This window comes from Homo sapiens, chromosome 7 (genome assembly GCF_000001405.40).
Source record: "Homo sapiens chromosome 7, GRCh38.p14 Primary Assembly".
Classification (NCBI taxonomy): domain Eukaryota; kingdom Metazoa; phylum Chordata; class Mammalia; order Primates; family Hominidae; genus Homo; species Homo sapiens.
Genome location: NC_000007.14, coordinates 116275457 through 116299544, shown reverse-complemented (window position 1 = coordinate 116299544; position 24088 = coordinate 116275457). Strand labels below are relative to the sequence as shown.

At 37.8% G+C, this 24088-nt stretch overlaps 2 long non-coding RNA genes across 8 annotated transcripts in view; one reads left to right on the top strand and one right to left on the bottom strand.

The window, feature by feature from the left end:
* The window catches only part of LOC105375463 (uncharacterized), a 51730-nt gene extending 37664 nt beyond the window's left edge, over window positions 1–14066 (bottom strand). For 2 of the 5 annotated variants that reach the window (XR_001745329.2, XR_007060482.1), the window contains exons 1-2: window positions 11431–11911; window positions 9495–9693 (exon numbers count right to left, since the gene is read on the bottom strand). This is a non-coding gene — a long non-coding RNA (uncharacterized LOC105375463). Of the gene's footprint in view, window positions 1–9494; window positions 9694–11430; window positions 11912–12116; window positions 12129–13987 lie in introns of those variants that run through there. The other 3 variants (XR_001745336.2, XR_001745335.2, XR_001745332.2) reach the window with 3 other exon arrangements.
* On the top strand, window positions 12818–23939 carry LOC102724434 (uncharacterized). 3 transcript variants are annotated; one of them, NR_130922.1, is made up of 4 exons: window positions 12818–12846; window positions 13350–13433; window positions 15139–15177; window positions 22113–23939. It is a non-coding gene; the product is annotated as an uncharacterized LOC102724434 (long non-coding RNA). The 3 variants fall into 3 exon arrangements; NR_130921.2 differs by lacking the exon at window positions 12818–12846 and adding an exon at window positions 12881–12927; NR_130923.1 differs by lacking the exons at window positions 12818–12846; window positions 15139–15177 and adding an exon at window positions 12881–12927.
* Window positions 23940–24088: the final 149 nt, after the last annotated feature.

The window sequence follows — 24088 nt, the reverse complement described above, 5'->3', positions numbered from 1 at the left end:
AAACGGTGGAATTTTTAAATAGAAAGGGAAATTTATGAGCCATGAGAAACATGACAAAATTTATCATGGAAATGTTTGCAATACTTCCTGGTAGAGACTTCAACTAATAATAAGTTATGTGAATATTGATTGATTTCCTGTGGTTATATCTTTTTTCTTGTGGTTTTATTTAAAATAGAGACAGGATACAGGTAGAAATACTGGCTGTCCTTCATTTTTGTTTTACATTTTTGCTTTGCATAGTATTTTTTTTAGAATAGGGTACATTAGAAAAATATTGTAGGTATAAAGTCGGTGCATATATTTACGGGGTACATGAGATATTTTGATACAGGCATACATTGTGTAATAATCACATCAGGGTAAATGCAGTAATCATCACTTCAAACATTTATCATTCTTTGTATTATAAACAATTCAATTATACTCTTTGGTTATTTTGAAATGTACAACAAATTATTGCTGATGGTAGTCACCCCATTGTGCCATCAGATACTAGCTCTTATTCATTTTATCTACTATATTTTTATGGTCATTAACCATCCCCACTTCCCTCCAGCCCTATCACTACCCTTCCCAGACTCAAGTAACCGTCATTCTACTCTCCATCTCCATGAGTTCAATGGTTTTAATTTTTAGCTACCACAAATAAGGGAGAACATGTGAAGGCTGTCTTTCCGTGCCTGGCTTATTTCACTTAACATAATGTCTTCCAGATCCATCCATATTGTTGCAAATGACAGGAGCTCATTCTTTTTGATGGCTGAATAGTACTCCACTATGTATAAGTACAACCTTTTCTTTATCCATTCATCTGTTGATGGACACTTAGGTTGCTTCCAAATCTTGGCCATTGTGAATAGTGCTGCAATTAACATGAGGGTGTAGATATCTCTTCTATATACTAACTTGCTTTCTTTTGGGTATATACCTAGAAATGGGATTACTTGTCTATTAGTCCGTTTTCACACTGCTAATATAGACATACTCGAGACTGGGCAACTTGCAAAAGAAAAAGAGGTTTAATGAACTCACGGTTTCACGTGGCTGGGGAGGCCTCACAATCATGGCAGAAGGCAAAAAGCAGTCTCACATGGCAGCAGACAAGAGAAGCGAATGAGAGCCAAGAAAAAGGGTTTCTCCTTATAAAACCATCAGATCTTGTGAGACTTATTTACTGCCACAAGAACAGTGTAGGGGAAACCACCCCCATGATTCAATTATCTCCCACTGGTCCCTTCCACAACACAAGGGAATTATGGGAGCTACAATTCAAGATGAGATTTGGATGGGAACACAGCCAAACCATATCAGCTGGATCATATGGCAGTTCTATTTTTAGTTTCTGAGGCACCTCTAAATTGTTCTCCATAGTGCTTTTACTAATTTACATTCCCACCAACAGGGTGCAAGCATTCCCCTTTCTGCATATCCTCACCAGCATCCATTATTGCCTGTCTTTGAATGAAAACCATTATAATTGAGGTGAGATGATATCTCACAGTAGTTTTGATTTTCATCTCTCTGATAATCAGTGGTGTTGAGCACATTTTCATATACCTGTTTGCCATTTGTATGTCTTCTTTTGAGAAATGTCTACCGAGATATTTTGACTACTTTTTAACTAAATTATTCTATTTTTCCCATAGAGTTGTTTGAGCTCCTTATCTGTTCTGTTTATTAATCCCTTGTCAGAGGGATAGTTTGCAAATATTTTCTCCCATTCTGTGGATTCTCTCTTCACTTTGTTGATTGTTTCCTTTGCTGTGCAGAAGCTTTTTACCTTGATGTGATACCATTTGTCCATTTTTGCTTTGATTGCCTGTGCTTGTGGAATATTACTTAAGAAATCATTACCCAGACCAATGTTCTGGAGAGTTTTCTCAATGTTTTCTTCTAGTAATTTCACATTTTGAAATCTTAGATTTAGGGTTCAGTATCATTCTTCTGCATATGGATATCCAGGTTTCCCAGCACATACATTGAACAGACTGTCTTTTCTCCAATTCATGTTCTTGGCACCTTTGTTGAAAATGAGTTCACTGAACATACATGTATTTATCTGTAAGTTCTCTATTCTTTTCCATTGATCTATGTGTCTGTTTTTATGCCAGTATCATGCTGTTTTGGTTACTGTAGCTCTGTAGTATAATTTGAAATCAGGTAATATGATTCCTCCAATTTTGTTCTTTTTGCTTAGGATAGCTATGGCTATTCTGGGTCTTTTGTGGTTTTATATAAATTTTGGGATTGTTTATTCTATCTCTGTGAAGAATGCCATTGGTATTTTGATAGAGATTGCACTGAATCTTTAGATCGTTTTGGGTAGTGTGGACATTTTGGCAATACTGATTCTTCCAATCCATGAACATGAAACATCTTCACATTTTTTGTGTCCTCTTCAATTTCTTGCATCAATGTTTTATAGTTTTCAATATAGAAATCTTTCAGTTCTTTGGTTAATTCCTAGGTATTTAATTTTATTTGTGGTTACTGTAAGTGGGATTGCTTTCTTGATTTCTTTTTCAGATTGGTCAGTGTTAGCATCTAGAAATGTTACTGATTTTTGTATGTTGTTTTTGTATCTTGCAACTTTAATGAATTTGTTTATCAGTTCCAATAGTTTTCTTGTGGAGTCTTTCATTTCTTTTTCCAAATATAAGATCATATCATCTGCAAATAAGGATAATTTGACTTCTTCCTTTTCAATGTAAACACTCTTTATTTCTTTGTCTTCTCTAATTGTTCTAGCTAGGACTTCCAGTACTATGCTGAATAACAGTGGTGAAAGTGGGCATCTTTGTGTTGCAGATCTTAGAGGAAAGGCTTTCAGTATTTCCCCATTCAGTATAAGACTAGCTGCGGATATTGTGCATATGGCTTTTGTTGGGTTGACATATGTTCCTTCTATAACCACTTTTTTGAGAGTTTTTTTAAATCATGAAGGGATGTTGAATTTTATCAAATGCTTTTTGTGCATCAGTTAAAATGATCATATGATTTTTTGTCCTTCATTCTGTTGAGATGATGTATCACATTGATGGATTTGTGTATGTTGAACCATACTTGCATCCCAGGGATAAATCCCACTTGGTCATAAAAAATGATTTTTTAAATGTGTTATTGAATTTGGTATGCTAGTATTTTACTGAGGATTTTCACATCAATGTTCATCAAGGATATTGGCATGTAGTTTTTTTGTTGTTGTTTGTCTTGGTATGTCTTTACCTAGTTTTGGTATGAGTGCAATTGATATAGTTTGGCTGTGTCCCCACCCAAATCTCATCTTGAATTGTAGCTCCCATTATCCCAACTTGTTGTGGGAAGGACTGAGTGGGAGGTAATTGAATCATGGGGGCAGGTTTTTACTGTGCTATTCTCATCATAGTGAATAAATCTCATGAGACCTGATGGTTTTATAAAGGGCAGGTTCCCTGCACACACTCTCTTGCCTGCTGCCATGTAAGACATGACTTTGCTCCTCCTTTGCCTTCTGCCATGATTGTGAGGCCTCCCCAGTCATGTGGAACTGTGAGTTCTTTAAACCTCTTTTTCTTTATAAATTACCCAATCTTCAGTATTTCTTATAGCAGTATGAAAATAGACTAATACTGGCCTTGTAGAAAGAGTTTGGAAGTATCTCCTCCTCCTCTATTTATTGGAATAGTTTCAATAGGGTTGGTATTATTTCTTCTTTAAATGTTTGGTAAAATTCAGCAGTAAAGCCATCAGGTCCCAGGCTTTTCTTTGCTGGGAGGCATATTATTGTGGCTTCAATCTTGTTACTTGTATTAGTCAATTCAGGTTTTGAATTTCTTCATAGATCAATCTTGGTAAGATGTATGTGTCTAGGAATTTATCATTTTCTTCTAGGTTTTCAATTTATTGGCATATAATTGCTCATAGTAGCCTCTAATGATCCTTTGAATTTCTGTGACATCAGTTGTAATGTCTTCTTTTTTCTTCTCATTTTATTTATTTGGGTCTTCTCTCTATTTTTCTTAGTTAGTCTGGCTAAAGATTTGTCAATTTTATCTTTTCTAACAACCAACTTTTCATTTCATTGGTGTTTTGTACTTTTTTTCATTTATCTCTGCTCTGATCTTTATTATTTCTTTTCTTCTACTAATCTTGGGTTTGATTTGGTCTTGCTTTTCTAGTTCTTTAAGATGCATTGTTAGGCTGTTTATTTGAAGTTTTTTCTACTTTTTTGATGTAGACATGTATAGCTATAAAGTTTCCTCTTAGCACAACTTTTGCTGTATCCCAAGGTTTTGTTATATTGTGGTTCCATTGCCATTTGTTTCAAGAAATTTTAAATTTCATTTTTAATTTATTAATTAATGCACTGGTCATTCAGGAGCATATTGTTTAATTTCCACATATCTGTATCATTTCCAAAATTCCTCTTGTTATTGATTTCTAGTTTTATTCCATTGTGCTCAGAGAAGATGCTTGATATTATTGTAATTTTTTAATGTTTTAAGACTTGTTTTGTGACCTAACATGTGGTCTATCCCTGATAATGATCTATGTGCTGAGGAGAATGTGTATTCTGCAGCCATTGGATGAAGTGTTCTGTAGATATCCACTAGGTCCATTTGTTCTATAGTGCAAATTAAGTCCATAGTTTCTCTGTTAATTTTCTGTCTGGATGATCTGTCAATGCTGAAAGTGGGGTGTTAAATCACCAGCTATTATTATATTGCATTTTCTCTCTCTCTCTTTATCTCTGATAGTATTTGCTTTTTATATCTGGATGCATATATTTTTAGGTGCATATATATTTACAAGTGCTGTATCATATATAATTGCTCTATCTTCTTGATGAATTGACCCCTTTATCATTATATAATGACCTTCTTTTACTCTTTTTATGGTTTTTGTCAGTGATATTGTTTGGCTGTGTCCTCACCCAAAGCTCATCTTGAATTGTAGCTTCCATCATTCCCTTGTGTCATGGGAGGGTCCTGGTGGGAGGCAATTGAATCATAGGGGTGGGTCTTTCTTGTGCTATTCTTGTGATAGTGAATAAGTTTCATGAGATCTGATGGTTTTACAAAGGGGAGTTCTCCTGAACATGCCCTCTTGCCTGCCGCCATGTAAGACATGACTTTGTTCCTCACTCACCTTCAGCCATAATTGTGAGGCCAGCCATTTGGAACTTTGAGTCAATTAAACCTCTTTTCTTTATAAATTACCCAGTTTCAGGTATGTCTTTATTAGCAGCATGAGAACAGACTAATACAGTCAGGAAAACCTATTTTGTCTGATACAAATATAGTAAATGTTGTTCTTTTTTTGTTTCTATTGGCATGGAATATCTTTTCCATCCCTTCATTTTCAGTCTATAGTTGTCTTTATAGGTGAAGTGTGTTTCTTATAGTATCATTGAGTCTTTTTAAAAACTCTATTCAGCCATTCTGTATCTTTTGATTGGAGAGTTTAGTCCATTCACATTCAATGTGATTATTGGTAAGGACTTACTCCTTTGATTTTGTTGTTTTCTGGTTGTTTCATAGTCTTCTCTTCCTTCTTTTATTCCTTCCTGTCTTCCTTTTAGTGATGGAGATTTTCTCTGGTGGTACATTTTAATTTCTTGCTTTTTATTTTTTGTGTATCTTTTGCATGGTTTTTATTTGAGATTACTATGAGGCTTGCAAATACCATCTTGTAATTCATTATTTTAGACTAATGACAACTTAACACTGATTGCATAATCAAACAACAAGCAAAGAGAAAACTAATAAATACTCCATATTTTAACTTCATCTCCCTGCTTTTAAACTTTTTGTTTTTTCTATTTATATCTTATAATACCGTCTATATCTTGAAACATGGTTATAGTTATTTTTTATAGGTTTATCTTTTAATCCTTCTACTCGATATGAGTAGTTCACACACCGTGATTACAGTATTATAATATTCTGTGTTTTTCTGTGTGCTTACTATTACCAGTGAGTTTGGTGCTTTCAGAGTATTTATTACTCATTTATGTCCTTTTCTTTCAGATTAAAGAATTCCCTTTACTATTTCTTGTAGGATAGGTCTGGTGTTGATGAAATTCCTAAGCTTTTGTTTGTCTGGGTGTCTTTATCTCTCCTCCATGTCTGAAGGATATTTTCACCAGGTATATTATTCAAAGGTTATCATCTTTATCCTTCAACACTTTAAATATGTCCTGCAACTCTCCTGCTTGCCTGTAGGGTTTCCACTGAAAAGTATGCTGCTAGATGTGTTGGAACTCCATTGTTTGTTATTTATTTCTTTTGTCTTGCTGCTTTTAGGATCCCTTCTTTATCCTTGACCTTTGGGAGTTTGACTGTTAAATGTCTTGAGATAATCTTATTTGGGTTAAACTTGTACTTGAATATTGATACGTTTATATAGGTTTGAGAAGTTCTTTGCTATTATCCCTTTGAATAAACATTTTACCCCTATCTTTCTCTCTCCACCTCCTCTTTAAGGCCAATAACTCTTAGGTTTGCCATTTGAGGCTATTTTCTAGGTGTTGTGCATGCTTCTTTTTTAAAATTCTTGTTTCTTTTGTCTCCTTTGATTGTGTATTTTTAAATAGCTTGTCTTCAGGTTCACTAATTTTTTCTTCTGCTTAATCAATTTTGTTAAGAGACTTCGATGTATTCTTCAGTATGTCACTTGTATTTTTCAACTCCAGAACTTCTGCTTGATTCTTTTAAATTATTTCAATCTGTTTATTAGATTTATCTGATAGGATTCTGAATTCTTTCTCTGTTTTAACTTGAATTTTGTTGCATTTCTTCAAAACAGCTATTTTGAATTCTCTGTCTGAAAGGTCACGTATCTCTGTGTCCCCAGGATTGACCCCTGTGCCTTATTTAGTTCATTTGGTGAGGTCATTTTCCTTGAAGTTTGTCAGTGTCTGGGCATTGAAGAGTTAGGATAAGGTATTTATTGCAGTTTTTGCAGTCTTGGCTTGTTTGTACCTGTCCTTCTTGGAAAGGCTTTTCAGGCATTTGAAGAAACTTCAGTGTTGTAATCTAAGTTTTTGGTTACTGTAGCCATATCTGCATTAGGAGCCACCCCAAGCCCAGTAATGCTGTGGCTCTTGCAGACTCATAGAGGTATTGCCTTGATAGTCTAGAATAAAATCCAAAATAATTCTCTGGATTACCTGACAGAGACTCTTGTTCTCCTCCCTTACTTTCTCCCAAACAAATGGAGTCTCTCTCTCTCCCTCTCTCTCTCTCTCCCTCTCTCTCTCTCTCTGTGTGTGCTGAGTTTCTTGGAACTAGAGGAGGGGTGACACAAACAACCCTGTACCCACCACCACTAGGACAGTGCTTCAGACCTGAAGCCGGCACAGCATTGGGTTTCACTCAGAGTCAGCTGTGAAACTGCCTGGCTACCACCTATGTTTGCTCAAGGCTCTAGGGCTCTAAAATCAGTAAGTGGCAAAGCCAGACAGACTGTGTCCTTCTCAGGGTGGTGAGTTCCCCCTGGCCCTGTGCAAGTCCAGAGATTCTGTCTAGCAGCCAGGGCCTGGAGTTGGAAACCTTAGAAATATACCTGGTGCTCTATTCTACTGTGGCTGAGCTGGCACCCAAGCCACAAGACAAAATTCTTCCCACTCTTCTCTTCTCTTTCCACAAGCAGAGGAGTCTCTCCTCATGGCTACCACTGCCCTAGGTCCACAGTGAGAACTGCCTTGCTACTGCTCATGTTCACTCAAGATCCAAGCACTCTTCAGTCAGTTATGGTAAATGCTGCCAGGCCTGGGACTCTTGCTTCAGGGCAGTCAGCTCCCCTCTGGCCAATGGCAGGTTCAGATATGTCACCTAAGAGCCAAGGCCTGGAATCAGGGACCACAAGGATATGCTTGCTGCTCTACGCCACTGTGGCTGAGCTGGTGCCCAAACTACAAGACAAAGTCTTGTTTATTCTGCCCTCTCTTTTCTTCAAGTAGAAGAGTTTCTCCTCATAGTCACAAAAGCTGGGAATGTACTGGGTCGTGGCTCTGAATCTCACCCCAAACCCATGGTAAGTACTGCCTGGCTACCACTGCTGATTGTTCAGGGACCAAGGGTTCCTTAGTCAGCAGGTGATAAATCTTGCCAGAACTAGGTCCTTCCCTTCAAGGTGATGGGTTCTCCTCTGACCCAGGGTATGTATAGAAATGTCATCTGGGAGCTAGAGCCTGGAATGGGAGCCTGGGACTCTGCTCTGTGCTCTATCCTGCTGTGGCTAAGGTGGTATCCAAGTTGTAAGACAAAGTACTCTTTACTCTCCCTTCTCCTCTCAAGTGGAAGGAATGGTTCTCTCCTGAAGTTGCAAGCTTCACTGCCTAGAGTTTGGGAAGGGTGACACAAGAACTCCTTAGGCCACCCCAGCTGATGTCTCACTAAGTTGTGTGCACCCCAAGCCCATTGGTTTCAAGCCCAGCACAGCACCAGGAGTTGCCCAGAAATTGCAGTCCTTGTGGCCTGGACTGCCATTCATTTCAAGTTTATTTAGAACCCCAGAGCACTTTAGCCTGTGTTGGCAAGACTTGCCAAAACTCAAGTTCTGTCACTGGGATGGGCTATTTCCCTCTAGCTAGGGTTGGTTGAAATGCTCCCTCTATGGGTACTGGCTGAGTTCTGGCCTTTGTTGCTTTCTGCTGTGACAGAGCAGCACTGAATTCCAATGCAAAATTCCACAGTCACTGCACTGTCCCACCCTCAAGCATACAGATTCTCTCTCTGCATCATGAGGGGCTGCTGTCTGGGGATGGGGGAAGAGTGGTGTAGGCAATTCAAGTCTGCCTTTCCTATCCTCTTCAGTGCCTCTTTCCTTAATATGATGTGGAGAAATAGGAACACTTTTACACTGTTGGTGGGACTGTAAACTAGTTCAACCATTGTGGGAAGACAGTGTGGCTATTCCTCAAGGATCTAGAACTAGAAATACCATTTGACCCAGCCGTCCCATTACTGGGTATATACCCAAAGGATTATAAATCATGCTACTATGAAGACACATGCACACGTATGTTTATTGCGGCACTATTCACAATAGCAAAGACTTGGAACCAACCCAAATGTCCAACAATGATAGACTGGATTAAGAAAATGTGGCACATATATGCCATGGAATACTATGCAGCCATAAAAAAGGATGATTTCATGTCCTTTGTAGGGACATGGATGAAGCTGGAAACCATCATTCTCAGCAAACTATCGCAAGGACAAAAAACCAAACACCGCATGTTCTCACTCATAGGTGGGAATTGAATAATGAGAACACTTGGATGCAGGGTGGGGAACATCACACACCAGGGCCTGTTGTGGGGTGGGGGGAGGGGGGAGGGAATAGCATTAGGAGATATACCTAATGTAAAAGTCGAGTTAATGGGTGCAGCACACCAACATGGCACATGTATGCATAAGTAACAAACCTGCACGTTGTGCACATGTACCCTAGAACTTAAAGTATTTTAAAAAATGATGTTAAAAGCAGGTACTGTGATCACTCACCTGATTTTTGTTTTTTATGAAGGTACTTTTTTGTTTAGATAGTTGTTCAATTTTGTTTTGATAGTTGTTCAATTCCTTTCGGGGAGATGATTGCTGGAGGCTTCTATTTGGCCATCTTGTTCCATCTCCTCCTGTATAGTACTTTTTAATGCTGTCTTATGATTTTCTGATCTTACACAAAGGTCTTAAGTACGTTTGCCTGCTCAGAGAAAAAAAAGTGTATCAAATGTAGGTCTTCCATAGTATGATTCATTTTAATTTTGAGGACTTTATTGGCTCATTACAAAAAATGTTTTCACTAATAATAACAACTTTCTTTTAAATCAAAACACATTATGAAAACACACAATTTTTTTTAGAAAAAGTGTTCAGTAAATATTATTTAACAATGCTTCTCTAACTTCAGCCAAACCAGAGAAGAGTAATTTATGGATTTTGAAAAGTTCATATGTGTAGTTTGCAGAAGTGATATTTGGTACATTCTTTGTGTAGTTGCCAAAATTTCTCCACCAAAAATTAGAACTCATTTGATAAAAATTGTTGACAAAAATAACCACAATAACAATACACAATGTATGATGTGAGAAGCTTATTAATATGATAAATAATATATCTTAAGCGTAATGAAAGAGTTTTTTAACTCCAAAAATTCAGTTTGTATTTAGTACAGCTAGAAGTTCTGTTACAAAAATGCATAAATTCAAGGTTCACTTCTTAATACCTAATTGGTTTTGCCCACTATTCTATAAATAATCCATAAAATTACATGTTCTTTACATCTTCTGTGATAATTAAAACAATATTTAACCAGATTTTAACAAATCTAGCTAATTGTTTCTTCTGTACTCAATTATTTCTACTTACTTCAAAAAAAGTAAACATCAGAACCAAGATCAGGTTTCACGTGTGAGAATTTGGAGTTTTTTTTTTTTAACATAACATCTAAATTTGAAGTACTCTAATTTTAAAAATTAGGATATGATGAATATTTATCAGAAGATCCTCTTTTTCAGATAGTTGAAAACTTTTGTGTATACATTCAGCATCAGAAATAACATATTGATTATTTTGGCTGGGCACGGTGGCTCACGCCTGTAATCCCAGCACTTTGGGAGGCCGAGGCAGGTGGATCATGAGGCCAGGAGGTCAAGAAATAACATATTGATTATTTTAATGGATTGATAGCCATCTTTAATGCCAATACAACATTATGCCTGTAAATTTAGCATTATTGCTTTTCATAAGAAAAAGAAATACAGTGGCATGTTATGCTTTTAAAATTTCCTGATTTGGCCAGGCGCGGTGGCTCACGCCTGTAATCCCAGCCCTTTGGGAGGCTGAGGTGGGTGGATCACAAGGTCAGCAGATTGAGACCAGCCTGGCTAACATGGTGAAACCCCGTCTCTACTAAAAATATAAAAAAAAAAAAAATTAGCTGGGCGTGGTGGCAGGCACCTGTGGTCCCAGCTACCTCAGAGGCTGAGGCAGGAGAATGGCATGAACCCAGGAGGCGGTGCTTGCAGTGAGCCGAGATGGCACCACTGCCCTCCAGCCTGGGCGACAGAGCAAGACTCCGTCTCAAAAAAAAAAAAAAAAAAAAATTCTTGATTTAAGGTAGCAAGGCTTTAAAAATAAATCTACAACTATTTCTTACAAACACTTCAAACTCTGAGAAAGATGAAAGCTAAACAAAGGACAATACTGGTATGAGTCATATATTTATTGAAAAGGAAACATAAAGAACTACCGTGCAGGCACACACTGCTGGACTGTAAATGAGGCTCATTTGAGGCTGGGGATACGTGAATGTGCTTGTTGTGCTGGGCCCAGGGAGCCTCTGGGCACAGCTCTTCATGGAAGTGGCCTGTAGGGTGAGTAGGGGTGAACCCCTTCCTGCAAGCCATGGACGGCAGAATACAGTGGAAATAAAACTTACTCGGTCTGGATGGCAGAATTAGAGATAGCATAGTGGCATGGGTTGACAGCCTCTCCTTCTCCCAATACCTATCCGAAACAAAACCCCAAAGTTAAAAATTCACCAATAGCTTAACAAGAAAAGATAAAACTTCTTTCCATAAAATGTGGAAAGTGATGACTTGATAGAGAGGAAAAAGAATCTTCTGGTTAAATATCATCCATGTACCCCAAACTGGCCAATGGTTTCTCATTTTCCTCAAAGTCCAAGTCCTTAAAATGCCTTCCAGGGCTCTCTATGACCTGGGTCCCAATACTGTGACTTCATCCCCTATTATTCTCCTGATTCACTCCTCACCGGTTGTGTTGGCCTCCTCACTGTGCCTCTAACATGCCGATCACTTTTCCAGTGCAGGCCCTTTCCATCTGTATTTCCTCTGCCAGAGCAGTTCTTCCCTGACAATGTACAGGGCTCATTCCTCCATTTTCTTCAGGTCTATGCTCAAAAGTCACCTTACCAGAGGTCCTTTCAGAACACCCTGTCCCAAACAGCAGACCCTATAGTCTCTGATATGCTTACTGTGATGGTTAATATTGAGTGTCAGCTTAATTAGACTGAAGGAAGCAAAGTATTGTTCCTGGGTGTGTCTGTGAGGGTGTTACCAGAGACTAACATTTGAGTCAGTGGATTGGGAGAGGCAGACCCACCTTTAATCTGAGTGGGCACCATCTAATCAGCTGCCAGCATGGTTAGAATAAAGCAGGCAGAAGAACTTGGAAGGAGCAGACTTGCTGAGTCTTCTAGCCTTCATCCTCCTCCTGTGCTGGATGCTTCCTGCCCTCAAACATCAGACTCCAAGTTTTCCAGCTCTTGGCCTCTTGAACCGACACCAGTGGTTTGCCACAGTCTCTCGGGCCTTCAGCCACAGACTGAAGGCTGAACTGTCCACTTCCTTACTTTTGAGGTTTTGGGACTCGGACTGGCTTCCTTGTTCCTCAGCCTGCAGACGGCCTATTGTGGGGCCTTGTGATTGTGTGAGTCAATAATCTTTAATAAACTCCCCCTCATATATACATCTATCCTATTAGTTCTGTCCCTCTAGAGAACCCTGGCTAAACACTTATTTCATTTTTGTCTATAACACTTATACAACCTGGCTTATATAAATCTGTTTTGTTATTCATTCATTGTTGTCACGTCAACAATAGTAATATTCATAGTTCAGGCACATTGTGTATTTTGTTCACTGCTGTAAAACTAAAATGATACTTGGCACAGAGTTGACACTCAGAAATATGTGTTGAATAAGTAAATTCTGGTGTGGCATAGAGTTCTGGCTGTGGTCCCATCCTGCAGAAGCAAAATTCTTTTAGTATTGTGAGGTCACAGAGTCATGGCATTCTCACTCGCATCTTCCATGGGGAGACAGGTGGAATGGTGAGGTACCCTTGGAAGGTTAAGAGAAAAATTTAGTAAACACTTTTGAGTATATAGACTCTTGCTGCATGATCCCACTGTGTAAGAATTTGCTTATTTCCAGGGCTTCATACCAAGATGGGTATAGCAGAAGCCTACCTGTATGATAAAGGAGTGAATACACTCCCAGCTGGGTGCAGGGGGGCCTGCCAGAGTATCTTTAACAGTGTTTCAGAAAGGAAGTATGTGGCTTCATTGGAGTATTCCCTTTCTTCTCCTTCCTAGCCTCAGTTTACAGAAAGTGGAAAGAAAGTAATATCCAGCTTTCAAAATTAGAGCCAAAATGTCCTACAAGAGATGGCAAGGATGGCAATCAAACAGATTTTACTATGTAATATCCAAGTTACAAATGAACAAGATGTAGAAATATGACCCCTCAATCAATAGATATATAGATCTATTGAGGAATATGTGAAGAATGAATGTAGACATTGATTTTTCTTCTTACTTTTCTTCCAATTAAGCAATCTCTATCTGTGAACCTGTAGTCAATTCAGAGTTCCCCAGACTGGCGTTCTGTTACAGAGGGAGTTTAGATTCAACTTCAGGTGAGTGATGGAGACCCTCTAGGCTGAGCTCCAAGGTGTGGCTTGGTAGTGACAGGCTTGAGGCTGAGCAGAGGGGCATGTTGGTCTCCTGCCTCTTAAGGCTCATATCTAGCTGATGAGATCCCCTTTAATGTCATGTTGTTGTTTTATTTCCTATTTATATTTGAATTCACGATTTTACACATTTTTAAGATGAATATAACATGCCATATTCCTCATCTATACCTAGATCAATTAATAGCTATATATAAATAGACATATATATAATGAACTTAATAACATGAGTTATTAAAGTATATAAAAGAAACTTAACAAAATCCCATATTTCTCATCTATATGTTTGTATATAAGAAGAAAAATCAATGTCTACATTTACTCTTCACATATATTTTACAGGCACCTTCTTTACTATGGTCACCATATTAACACTGAGATCATCACTGTCCATCGCCACCTAACATTAAGCTAACAAAAGTTATAGAAAATGAATTCAACATTCAATGAATACCTTTTGAGCATCTATTGTGTATCAAATACTTTCAAATATAACTTACTTAACTTTCTCAACAATTTGGTGGAGCAGATACTGTCTCTTTCTTTATAGCTGGGGAAATTGAGGCTAAGAGAAGTTGGGTGAGTCATACTTTGCACTCAAACCTCTTTGTTTCAATTTTACTCTATGGAAGTGCCATATAATGCCCCAGAAAAATAATAGACTGCAATGTTTCTCAGCCCTGTCTGTTGAAAAATTATTGGTACCTAGGGAACTCAGCACAAATATTAACACCTTGGCCGCATCACAGAGAGCCCAATTTAATTGATTGGGTAGGGAAGGGAACAGAGGAAGCTAATTTTTAAAAACTCTCTTGATAGGTCTAACATGCAGTCATGGTGAAGATCTACTGATCTATTGTTTCTTATATATACTAAGTTATATTATATTATATATTCATATATTATATATTATAACTAAGTTTCTTATATTTACTGACTGCTTTCAAATTAATATGGCTTTAATTGTTGGGGGGCTGTATATAGTTAGTTCAGCAGTATCATAGACACTTCTGTTTCCTAAACTGGCATGATTTACTCAAAGCTGGCAATCATTAGAATTTTGATATTTATTTTACTGCTTACTCAGTAATATCTATTTCTGAATTGCTATTTTGGAGCTCCTACATGACTCATTAATTGCTATAATAACACCCCAGAAACAAATGTTAACACATCATATTAATAATTTTATCTTAAATCAGAAATATTTGCTCTAAATTTTTAAGGATCAGGTAATGAAAGTGAGCATCCAAACTCCATCTAGCACTAGGGTTTAGTCCTCTACAGCAAATGTGAAGGTCAGGGAAATCTCCAGAGTTTAGTATCACCTGAGAGTTGGGCAAAGTTAGAGCCAAATCCCTGGTAATAAAAATAGGGATCGGGTCATGTGTATATATACTATACACATGGCAAGTTTGTGTTGTGGCAAGTTGTGGCAAGTTTCATCACTGAAAGAGTGAAGGGTCATAGAGAAAATATTTCAAGCTTCCTGAATGCTCCAGGATCAAGGACATACCACAACAAAGTCACACTCTCTTAAGTTATACGGAGTGAGACTTTTTAGCCAGTCAGAAGCTATTCACAGAGCATTTGTAGAATTAGATGAGAGGAAACCTCATAAATCGTTTCATAAAATATTTTCTCTTTACAGATGAGAAAAATGAGGATCTGACATGAAAAGTGACTTGCAGTAGGTGCAAACTAGTGTCCAGGGCTCTGGCCTCCACCTCTGGTCAACTTTCACCACCCCATGTTATGCTAACCCCTGGCATTCTGTTTGTGCACAACCAAGTCTTTAATTTGTCCTAGTAGTCATATTTTTTTCCTCTTCTTCTTAAATTGATGTCTTCACTTGCTGTTTCCTTGGGTGTTGAAACCCAAGTCCCATCCCCTGAGGAACCAACAACATTGAATACGAATATGGCCATGAACTGATTGGCCAAATCTACTCTGACCTGTGCTCCCAAGGTGAATGACCTTGTTGGGGTTGACTAAGTCTTTTCCAGGGAGGTCAACATCACCTCAGCTATTTCAAAACAGAGCTAAAGTTCCAGTCCAGGGAATGGCTGATTCTTCAGGTGTGTTTCTGTGTGCACAACTTGTTCTTTCAACAACCTCCCCATGAGTTTCTGGAATGTGAAGACTACTTTTGTCTGAAGAAACCACTGGCCTACATATTTTTGTTATACACACATGAAAAAATTGTTACAAGAGGTACTGCTGTGACAAGCAATATAAAGTCTTGGACTGTTTCCTAGTTATTTGTCCGTACTTTATCCACCTGCCTGAGGAGAGTGGTACAATTTTGAGAGGAAGCTTGTGAGCGAAGTAGAGTAAATAAATTAACAAATAAGTAGACTGAAGAATAGGCATTAAACTATAAACCAAATACTTTCCATAATGGGTCCCTTTTGGCTGCATGACTTTCTTTGCAAATATCCTTTTTTTTCTAACCACTTGTACTTTCTCATTTTTAACACTCTCAGCCTTACTTAAACCCAAATTACTTCCTTTCTTTTCTCTCTTCTTTCTTCCCATTCCCCAATTCCCACATATTCCTCTTTGACTTTTCTAACTAAAGAGTAATTTTGATCACTGAATATGTAATATATATTATGGAAATTATGTATATATAAAATGTTTGTGTTTATATATATGCTATACGTAGTAACACACACAAACACTTTTCCTCTGCTATTGTATATATGTTATATATTCCTCTGCTATTATATATATTATATATAATTTAATATCAGAGGAAAAGAGAAAAAGCATTTTTCATGCTTATTTCATATAACAGTTCTAACTTTTTCACACTGGAGTAAACTAAAAGGGATTTGCAGGCATCTGCATGGGACCTGTTGAAAAAACATATTATGTATACTTTATCTATATCATTGTGATAAACACAAATATTAATGAAAAGATTGAATATTGAAACAGTCAAATCTTTGCAGTTTTTAAAATGAGACTTCAGTATGCTTTCCTGACCTTTTTTTCTTTGGCATATTTTCATGCCTGAAATGGTTAAACACTTCCTAGTCTCCTAGTCAAGTCTTATTAATGATGATTCCTGCAAGGTCTTAACAATCCTCATTGATAAGACACTTTTTTGCATAAGTTATAAAAATTAAAACCGTTAACATAACAGTTAAAGTGTATTTGAAAAATTTAGCACCTTGTGCCTTTTTTTCAAAAACAACTGTAAAATTAGAATTTCCCTTGCTAAAAAGAATAGATCTTTGAATCCAATACTTTTTTTTAATGCCAAGTATTTTGAAATAATGACAATTTAATTTGGGGACAGGTCTGTGTGTTAGAGGAGCTACTATGCAGCCAGCTTGGATGACAAAACAGAAATATTCAATATCTGTGATGCCAGAATGTAGGGGCCACTACTTGGAGCTACCTCTTTCCCAGCACCCACCTGAGCTTTCTGCTTCTTCCTTCCCTGTCCCCATCCCTTCCCCTACCAGGCTCACCTTAAGCTATTGAACATCTTGGACACCAGCTCTCTTGGCAGTCTCATGGACTCTGTAGTGAGTTGAATAGTGGCCCTCACAAAATATGCCCATGTCCTAATTACCAGAATCTGTGACTATTATCTTACGTGGGAAAAGGAACTTTGCAGATATAATTAAATTAAGGATCTTGAGATGAGGAGATCATCCTGGATTATCTGTGTGGCTCTAAATCCACTGACAAGTTATTTATAAGAAATGCACAGGGAAGACTGCTTAGACACTTCAGGGCATTATAGCAGAATATCATAGTCTGGGTGGCTTGTCAATAATAGGAAATTATTTCTCACAGTTCTGGAGGTTGGAAGTCTAAGGTCGGGGTGCCACCATGGTCAGATTCTTGTGTGAGCCCACTTCCAGGTTGTAGGCTGCCAACTTTTTGCTGTTTCCTCACATGACTAAAAAAAGAGCAAGGTAGGTTTCTGGCCTCTTCTTTTAAAGGCACTAATCTCATTCATAAGGGCTCCACTCATCCCAAAGTCCCTATCTCCATATACTGTTACATTGGGATTAGGGTTTCAACATGTATGAATGTGGAGCACACACATTGAGTCTGTAATAGCAGATTCGGCAGAAGTGGAAGAGGTGATATAGCCTCGGAGGCAGAGATTGGAGTGATGCAGCCACAAGGCCACAAGTCAAAGAATGCCAAAAGCCTCCAGAAACTAGAAGAGACAAAGAAAGACTCTCCTAGAGCTTCCATAAGGAACATAACCCCTGCTGACACTTTAATTTCAGACTTCTGTACTCTAGCACTGCAAGAAAATAATTCTTTTCTTCTTTTAAGTCACTGAGTTTTCGGGAATTTGTTACGATAGCTACAGGAAACTAATGTAGGACCCTTGTCTACAATGGGCAGTAGGCACTTGGGAGGTGGCTGTTGCATCCCACCTGGGCAAAGTGGCAGGAGTGGCCATCTTGGGGTTCCCTACCTGTGTGGCCCATAGCATACCTCAGGCTGCCCTCTGAGGAGCCCAGATGAAGTTCTGCCATCCCTGGCCTTGCTGCCCCAGCGCTGAGGGTCTCAGCATGTTATAGCACAGTAGCTCAGCCCCTATGGACACACTGTCCTGGGGGTGTCACCTAGGGTTGCTATTAGCAGTAAGCTCATCCTCTGCTTGTGATTTCTTCTCATTAGGGTTACTAACTCTGTGTTGAAAAGGCAAACTATTGTGTGTAAAAAAATATCCATAGTTTTGGTAAGAAAAATATAGGTTCATCATAAATTGGTACTAGGAAAAATCACTCATCAGAAAATATTTCTAATTTTATTCTTTTTTTTTATTAAAAGCATTCCTTGAGCAGAATGCAAAAGACACTTGAGAGGTGGTACATGGGTAGAAACCCTTACTGCTTTCTCTAGTTGGGTTTGGAATTATTCTAAATTCATGCATTAGTCTTTTTGAGCTTCATTTTAATTAAATCTCAAACACATTCTTTATTGAGTTATAACAGAATTTGTGAGAAGTTTCCTTCAACCCACTTCAGGTCCCAGTTTGCTCTTTGCACTTCCTTCCTCTGCATCATATGTGGCCCTGATCAGTGAATACTTCCTCTGCCTCTTTGTGTCTGCTTTCCTGAACATTACCTCATCGTTTCTGTCTCCTATAATCATACTGAAACAATTAATGGGACATGTAAAAGACATTTGAAGAAATATTCTATTTGCTTCAGAGAGATCATACTGACCATCGAAGAGGGTGTTTTCATGAACATGCAGTCATCTGAGTTATCAAGAGATGGATTTAAATTGTTATTGTTATTTATTTTCCTGTAACAGGTGCTTTTTTATTTTTATCTTTTTTTGAGATGTAGTGTCGCTCTGTCACCCTGGCTGGAGTGCAGTGGTACAATCTCGACTCACTGCAACCTCCTCCTCCCAGGTTCAAGCAGTTCTCCTGCCTTAGCCTCCTGAGTAGCTGGGATTATAGGCATGTGCCACCATGCCTGGCTATTTTTTGTATCTTTAGTATAGATGGGGTTTTGCCATGTTGGCCAGGCTGGTCTCGAGCTCCTGACCTCAGGTGATCCACCCGCCTTGACCTCCCAAAGTGCTGGGATTACAGGCGTGAGCCACCGCGCCTGGCCAACAGCTGCTCTTAAGTGCCCTGTTCTGTCAAAACTGTTCAGTGGAGACCATGCTGCATAACAATGTTTCCTCAAAGCATTTTGCAAAGTGTGTATACCCTGAGCATTTTTATGTATTATATAAGGTAGAATGATCTCACCCATGGAGTCTAAATTGGGCTTTGCAGTGGTATTCTACAATCTGCACATGATGCCACATCCATGCACAACCGTGGCTATTCCTAGCCTCAGATGATATTCCAAGGAATTGGGACAAGCATTTTACCCAGGATAACCTGTGGCCATAATTTATTGAAAAAATTTACAAGGAAAATACCAAAATAGACAATTTGATAATTTAAAATTAGTGATCGACCAGCTTTTAGGGTTCTTGAACTCTAATGATGAGCTCACAGTTGTTGGGGCAGAGGGAGGGAGAAGAAAGGTGGGTTCCCTTCTTCTAGGCCAGAGCATGGTAATATTAAACAGTACACAGGCAGAGCATGAGCAGTGACCACACTCACTTCTAGAAACTTCCTGGGGTCATGGCAGAAGTGACAGCAGCCATAGCAGCAGCGCTGGGGACATTTGTTTCTGTAACTGCCAGCTTATGAATAATGCTGGTGGAGTCCTTTCATCTCAAGAAATACTATCTGCATTGTAGCTAAGAAGTCCTAAGGCTGACCCTTCGGATATAAGTAAGCACCTCTGTAGTTTCTTGGCCAAGAATTATATTCTGGAGGAAGATGAAACTCTGTTCATCTAGGCAGGTAGGATTCATTTTCCTTTGGCAAATTGATTTGGCACATAATGTGACCAAAGCTCTAAGTAATGTCATTGCTCCATCTTGTAGATGGGAAAACAAGGCACAAAGAGATTCCATACCTTGTACAAGATCACAGTTCATAAGTGGCAGACTCAGACTCAAACCCATGCAGTCTGGCTAGATACTCTGATATTCTTAGATTAGCATTTACAGTAAAGACAGCAGAAACACTGCTTTGCTTTTATTCAAATCATTGCTCCAAGGAATGGAATAAATTATGTATGAGATATTTACATGTCAAGATGAGCTACTTCACAGTATGATGGGAGGGTATCTCTGGAATTTTACAACAGACCAGGGTCAGGCAAGAATGTCTAGTGTTCTGCTTTGGAAAAGTTGAAATTGCCTGGGTACACATGATTAAAATTATATTTATTTTAGCAAAACATTTTGAGTCTGTCAGTTTTATACCTTGAGGTTTGGAAAACCTGACATTTTCTTAGTCTTAAATTAGTGTAATCTATTTTAGCATCAGCTTTCTTCATTTTCTAATTAAATTCGAGCTTTATTTAAAAGTGAAGTCTTTATTAAGGCAAATGTTTTCACAGGTAGGTTGTTTAGCTTAACCAAACTAGTATCCAAGGTGACCCCTAGAACATAAACTCTGGAGATTGTGAAGTTTAGGAAGGTTGAAAACATGTGCTTGATTTTCTTGAGGAATTTTAAAGCCTCAACTAATATCATTTTCAATCAATTTTTGGAACATATACAAAATTTTCTTCATTGCCATTAATGTCTGCAATGCCAGGTTGTGGCTATTGCTAGATCCCTACTATCAATTGACACTTATTCAATATAATACCCTTAAATTTTTCTTCTAAACTTAATTATAAATTGTTTATGTCACTATTTTTTCTAGGAGAGTCTAGCTCATAAAAAAGGAAAATTTCATGTATTATATTAAGACCCAAGCCAAAGTTGCAGGTTTGCTTTGGAAAAATTGTTTAAATGAAGAGAGAAATTGTCAGTTAATTAAAAACACCAGCAAGTGGAGAATATCTTTTTTTAAAACCTTTGTTTTATGTTCAGGGGTACATGTTCAGGTTATATAGGTAAATTGTGTGTCACGGGGATTTGGTGTACAGATTATGTCACTACCCAGGTAATAAGCATACTCTCTGATAGGTAGTTTTTGATCCTTACCCTTCTCCCTCCCTCTACCCTCAAATAAGCCCTGGTATCTCTTGTTCCCTTCTTTGTGTCCATATGTACTCAGTGTTTAGCTTTCACTTATAAGTGAGAATATGCACAATTTGATTTTCTGTTCCTGTGTTAGTTTACTTAGGATAATGGTCTCCAGCTCCATCCATGTTGCTGCAAAGGATATAATCTCATTTTCTTTATGCGTGCATAGTATTCCATGGTGTATATGTACCACATTTTTAAAATTTAGTCTACCATTGATGGGCATCTAGGTTGATTCCATGTCTTTGTTACTGTGAATAGTGCATGCATGTGTCTTTATGGTAGAATGATCTATATTCCTTTCGGTATATACCCAATAATGGGATTACTGGGTTGAATGGTAATTCTGCTTTGAGTTATTTGAGAAATCATCAAACAGCTTTCCATAATGGCTCAACTAATTTATATTCCCACGAGCAGTGTATAGGCATTCCCTTTTCCCTGCAATCTTGCCAGCATTTATTATTTTTTGACTTTTTAGTAATAGCCATTCTGACTGGTGTGAGATGGTATCTCATCGTGGTTTTGATTTGCATTTCTGTAATGATTAATGGTGTTGAGCATTTTTTCATATGATTGTTGGTTTCTTGTATATCATCTTTGAAAAGTGTACGTTCATGTTGGATAAGAAAGCAAGACGCAGCAGTATGCTGTCTTCAGAAGACCCATCTTATATGCAATGACGTCCATAGGCTCAAAGTAAAAGGATGGAGAAAAATCTACCAAGCAAACAGTAAACAGAAAAAAGGAGGAGTTGCTAATCTAATTTCAGACAAAACAGACTTTAAGCCAACAAAGATCAAAAAAGACACAGAAGGGCATTACATAATTGCTTATTTTGTTTGTTTGTTTTTTGCTTGTTGATTTGTTTATCATCCTTATAGATTTTGGGTATTAGACTCTTGTTGGATGCATAGTTTGCAAATATTTTCTCCCATTCTCTCTGTTTACTCTGCCAATATTTTGTTTTGCAGAAGGTCTTTAGTTTAATTAGGTCCCATTTACCCATTTTTGTTTTTGTTGCAGTTGCTTTTGGCATCTTTGTGGTAAAATATTTGCCACCAGACCTGCCTTACAAGAGGTCCCAGAAGGAGTGCTAAATATAACCTGCCTTACAGGAGGTTGCCAAGGGAGTACTAAATATAGAAAGGAAAGACTGTTACCAGCCACTACAAAAACACACTTTAAGTACATGGACCAGTGACACTATAAAGCAACCACACAAACAAGTCTGCATAATAACTAGATAACAACATGATGACAGGATCAAATCTGCATATGTAAAAACTAGCCTTGAATATAAATGGGCTAAATGCCCAATTAACACTGAGTAGGCAGTTGGTTAAAGAAGCAAGACTCAACAGTATGCTGTCTTCAAAAGACCCATCTTATATGCAATGATGTCCATAGGCTCAAAGTAAAAGAATGGAGAAAAATCTACCAAGCAAACAGAAAACAGAAAAAAGGAGGAGTTGCTAATCTAATTTCAGACAAAACAGACTTTAAGCCAACAAAGATCAAAAAAGACACAGAAGGGCATTACATAATGGCGAAAGCCTCAATTCAACAAGCTGACCTAACAATCCTAAATATATATGTATCCAACACAAGAACACCCAGATTATAAAGCAAGTTCTTAGAGACCTATGAAATGACTTAGATAATCGCACAATAATAGTGGGAGAATTCAAACACCCCACTGACAATATTAGATTATTGAGGCAGAAAACTAACAAAGATATTCGGGACCTGAACTCAATGCTTGACCAGATGGATCTAACAGATATCGACAGAACTCTCTACCCAAAAACGATTGAATATACGTTCTTCTCATCTGCACATGGCACATACTCTAAAATCAGCCATGCAATAGGCTTAAAACAGTCCTCAGCAAATAAAACAAAAAAAAAAACTGAAATTATACCAACCATACCCTTGGACCACAGGGCAATAAAAGTAGAAATCAAGACTAAGAATATCACTCAAAACCACACAATTACATGGAAATTAAACAACCTGCTCTTGAATGACTTTTGGGTAAACAATGAAATTAGGGCAGAAATCAAGAAATTCTTTGAAACCAAAGCAAACAAAGCTACAATATACCAGAATCTCTGGGACATAGCTAAAGCAGTGTTAAGAGGGAAGTTTATAGCACTAAATGCCCACAACAAAAAGAAAGATCTCAAATTAAGAACTTAACATCACAAACCAACCCCAAAGCTAGCAGAAGACAAGACATAACCAAAATCAGAGCTAAACTGAAGGAAGTTGAGATGTGAAAAACCATACAAAAGACTAATGAATCCAGGAGTTGAGTCTTTGAAAGAATTAATGATATACCTCTAGCTAGACTAATAAAAAAAGAGAGAAGTTCCAAATAAATACAATCAGAAATGACAAAGGGAATATTACCACCAACTCCACAGAAATACAAACTCTCAGAAACTGCTGTGAACACCTCTATGCACTCAAGCTAGAAAACCTAAAAGAAATGATACATTCCTGGAAATATACAACCTCCCAAGATTGAACCAGGAAGAAACTGAATCCCTGAACAGAGAATATCTCTTGTAAAGATGTCTTCAAAATCTCAAACTCCAGTGCTCCTTCTTTTAAGAACTCCAGGCGTGTCTTACCAGTAATGTCCCCCTGGAGATGATACTGACATTTTGAAAAACATTCCTCAAACAGAAATCACCATCTTCCTCTTTCAAATCCTGTTCCTCTCTAGCCTGTGCTCTCCATATGCTCATCCATTACTGAAGCTAGAAACTGAATAATTGTCATTGATTCATATTTAGTACCTGTTGGCTTTGCTTCTTAAGATAAATTCCAAATGGGGTTGCTGAATTATTTTTTTAACTTTTTATTTTCAAATAACTTCAAACTTACAGAAAATTGGCAAAAATGTACTAATGTTTTTGTATAGGTCCTTCACCCAAATTGGTTACCAAATTTTAACATTTTCTCATATTTGCTTTGCTTTAGCATTCTCTCTA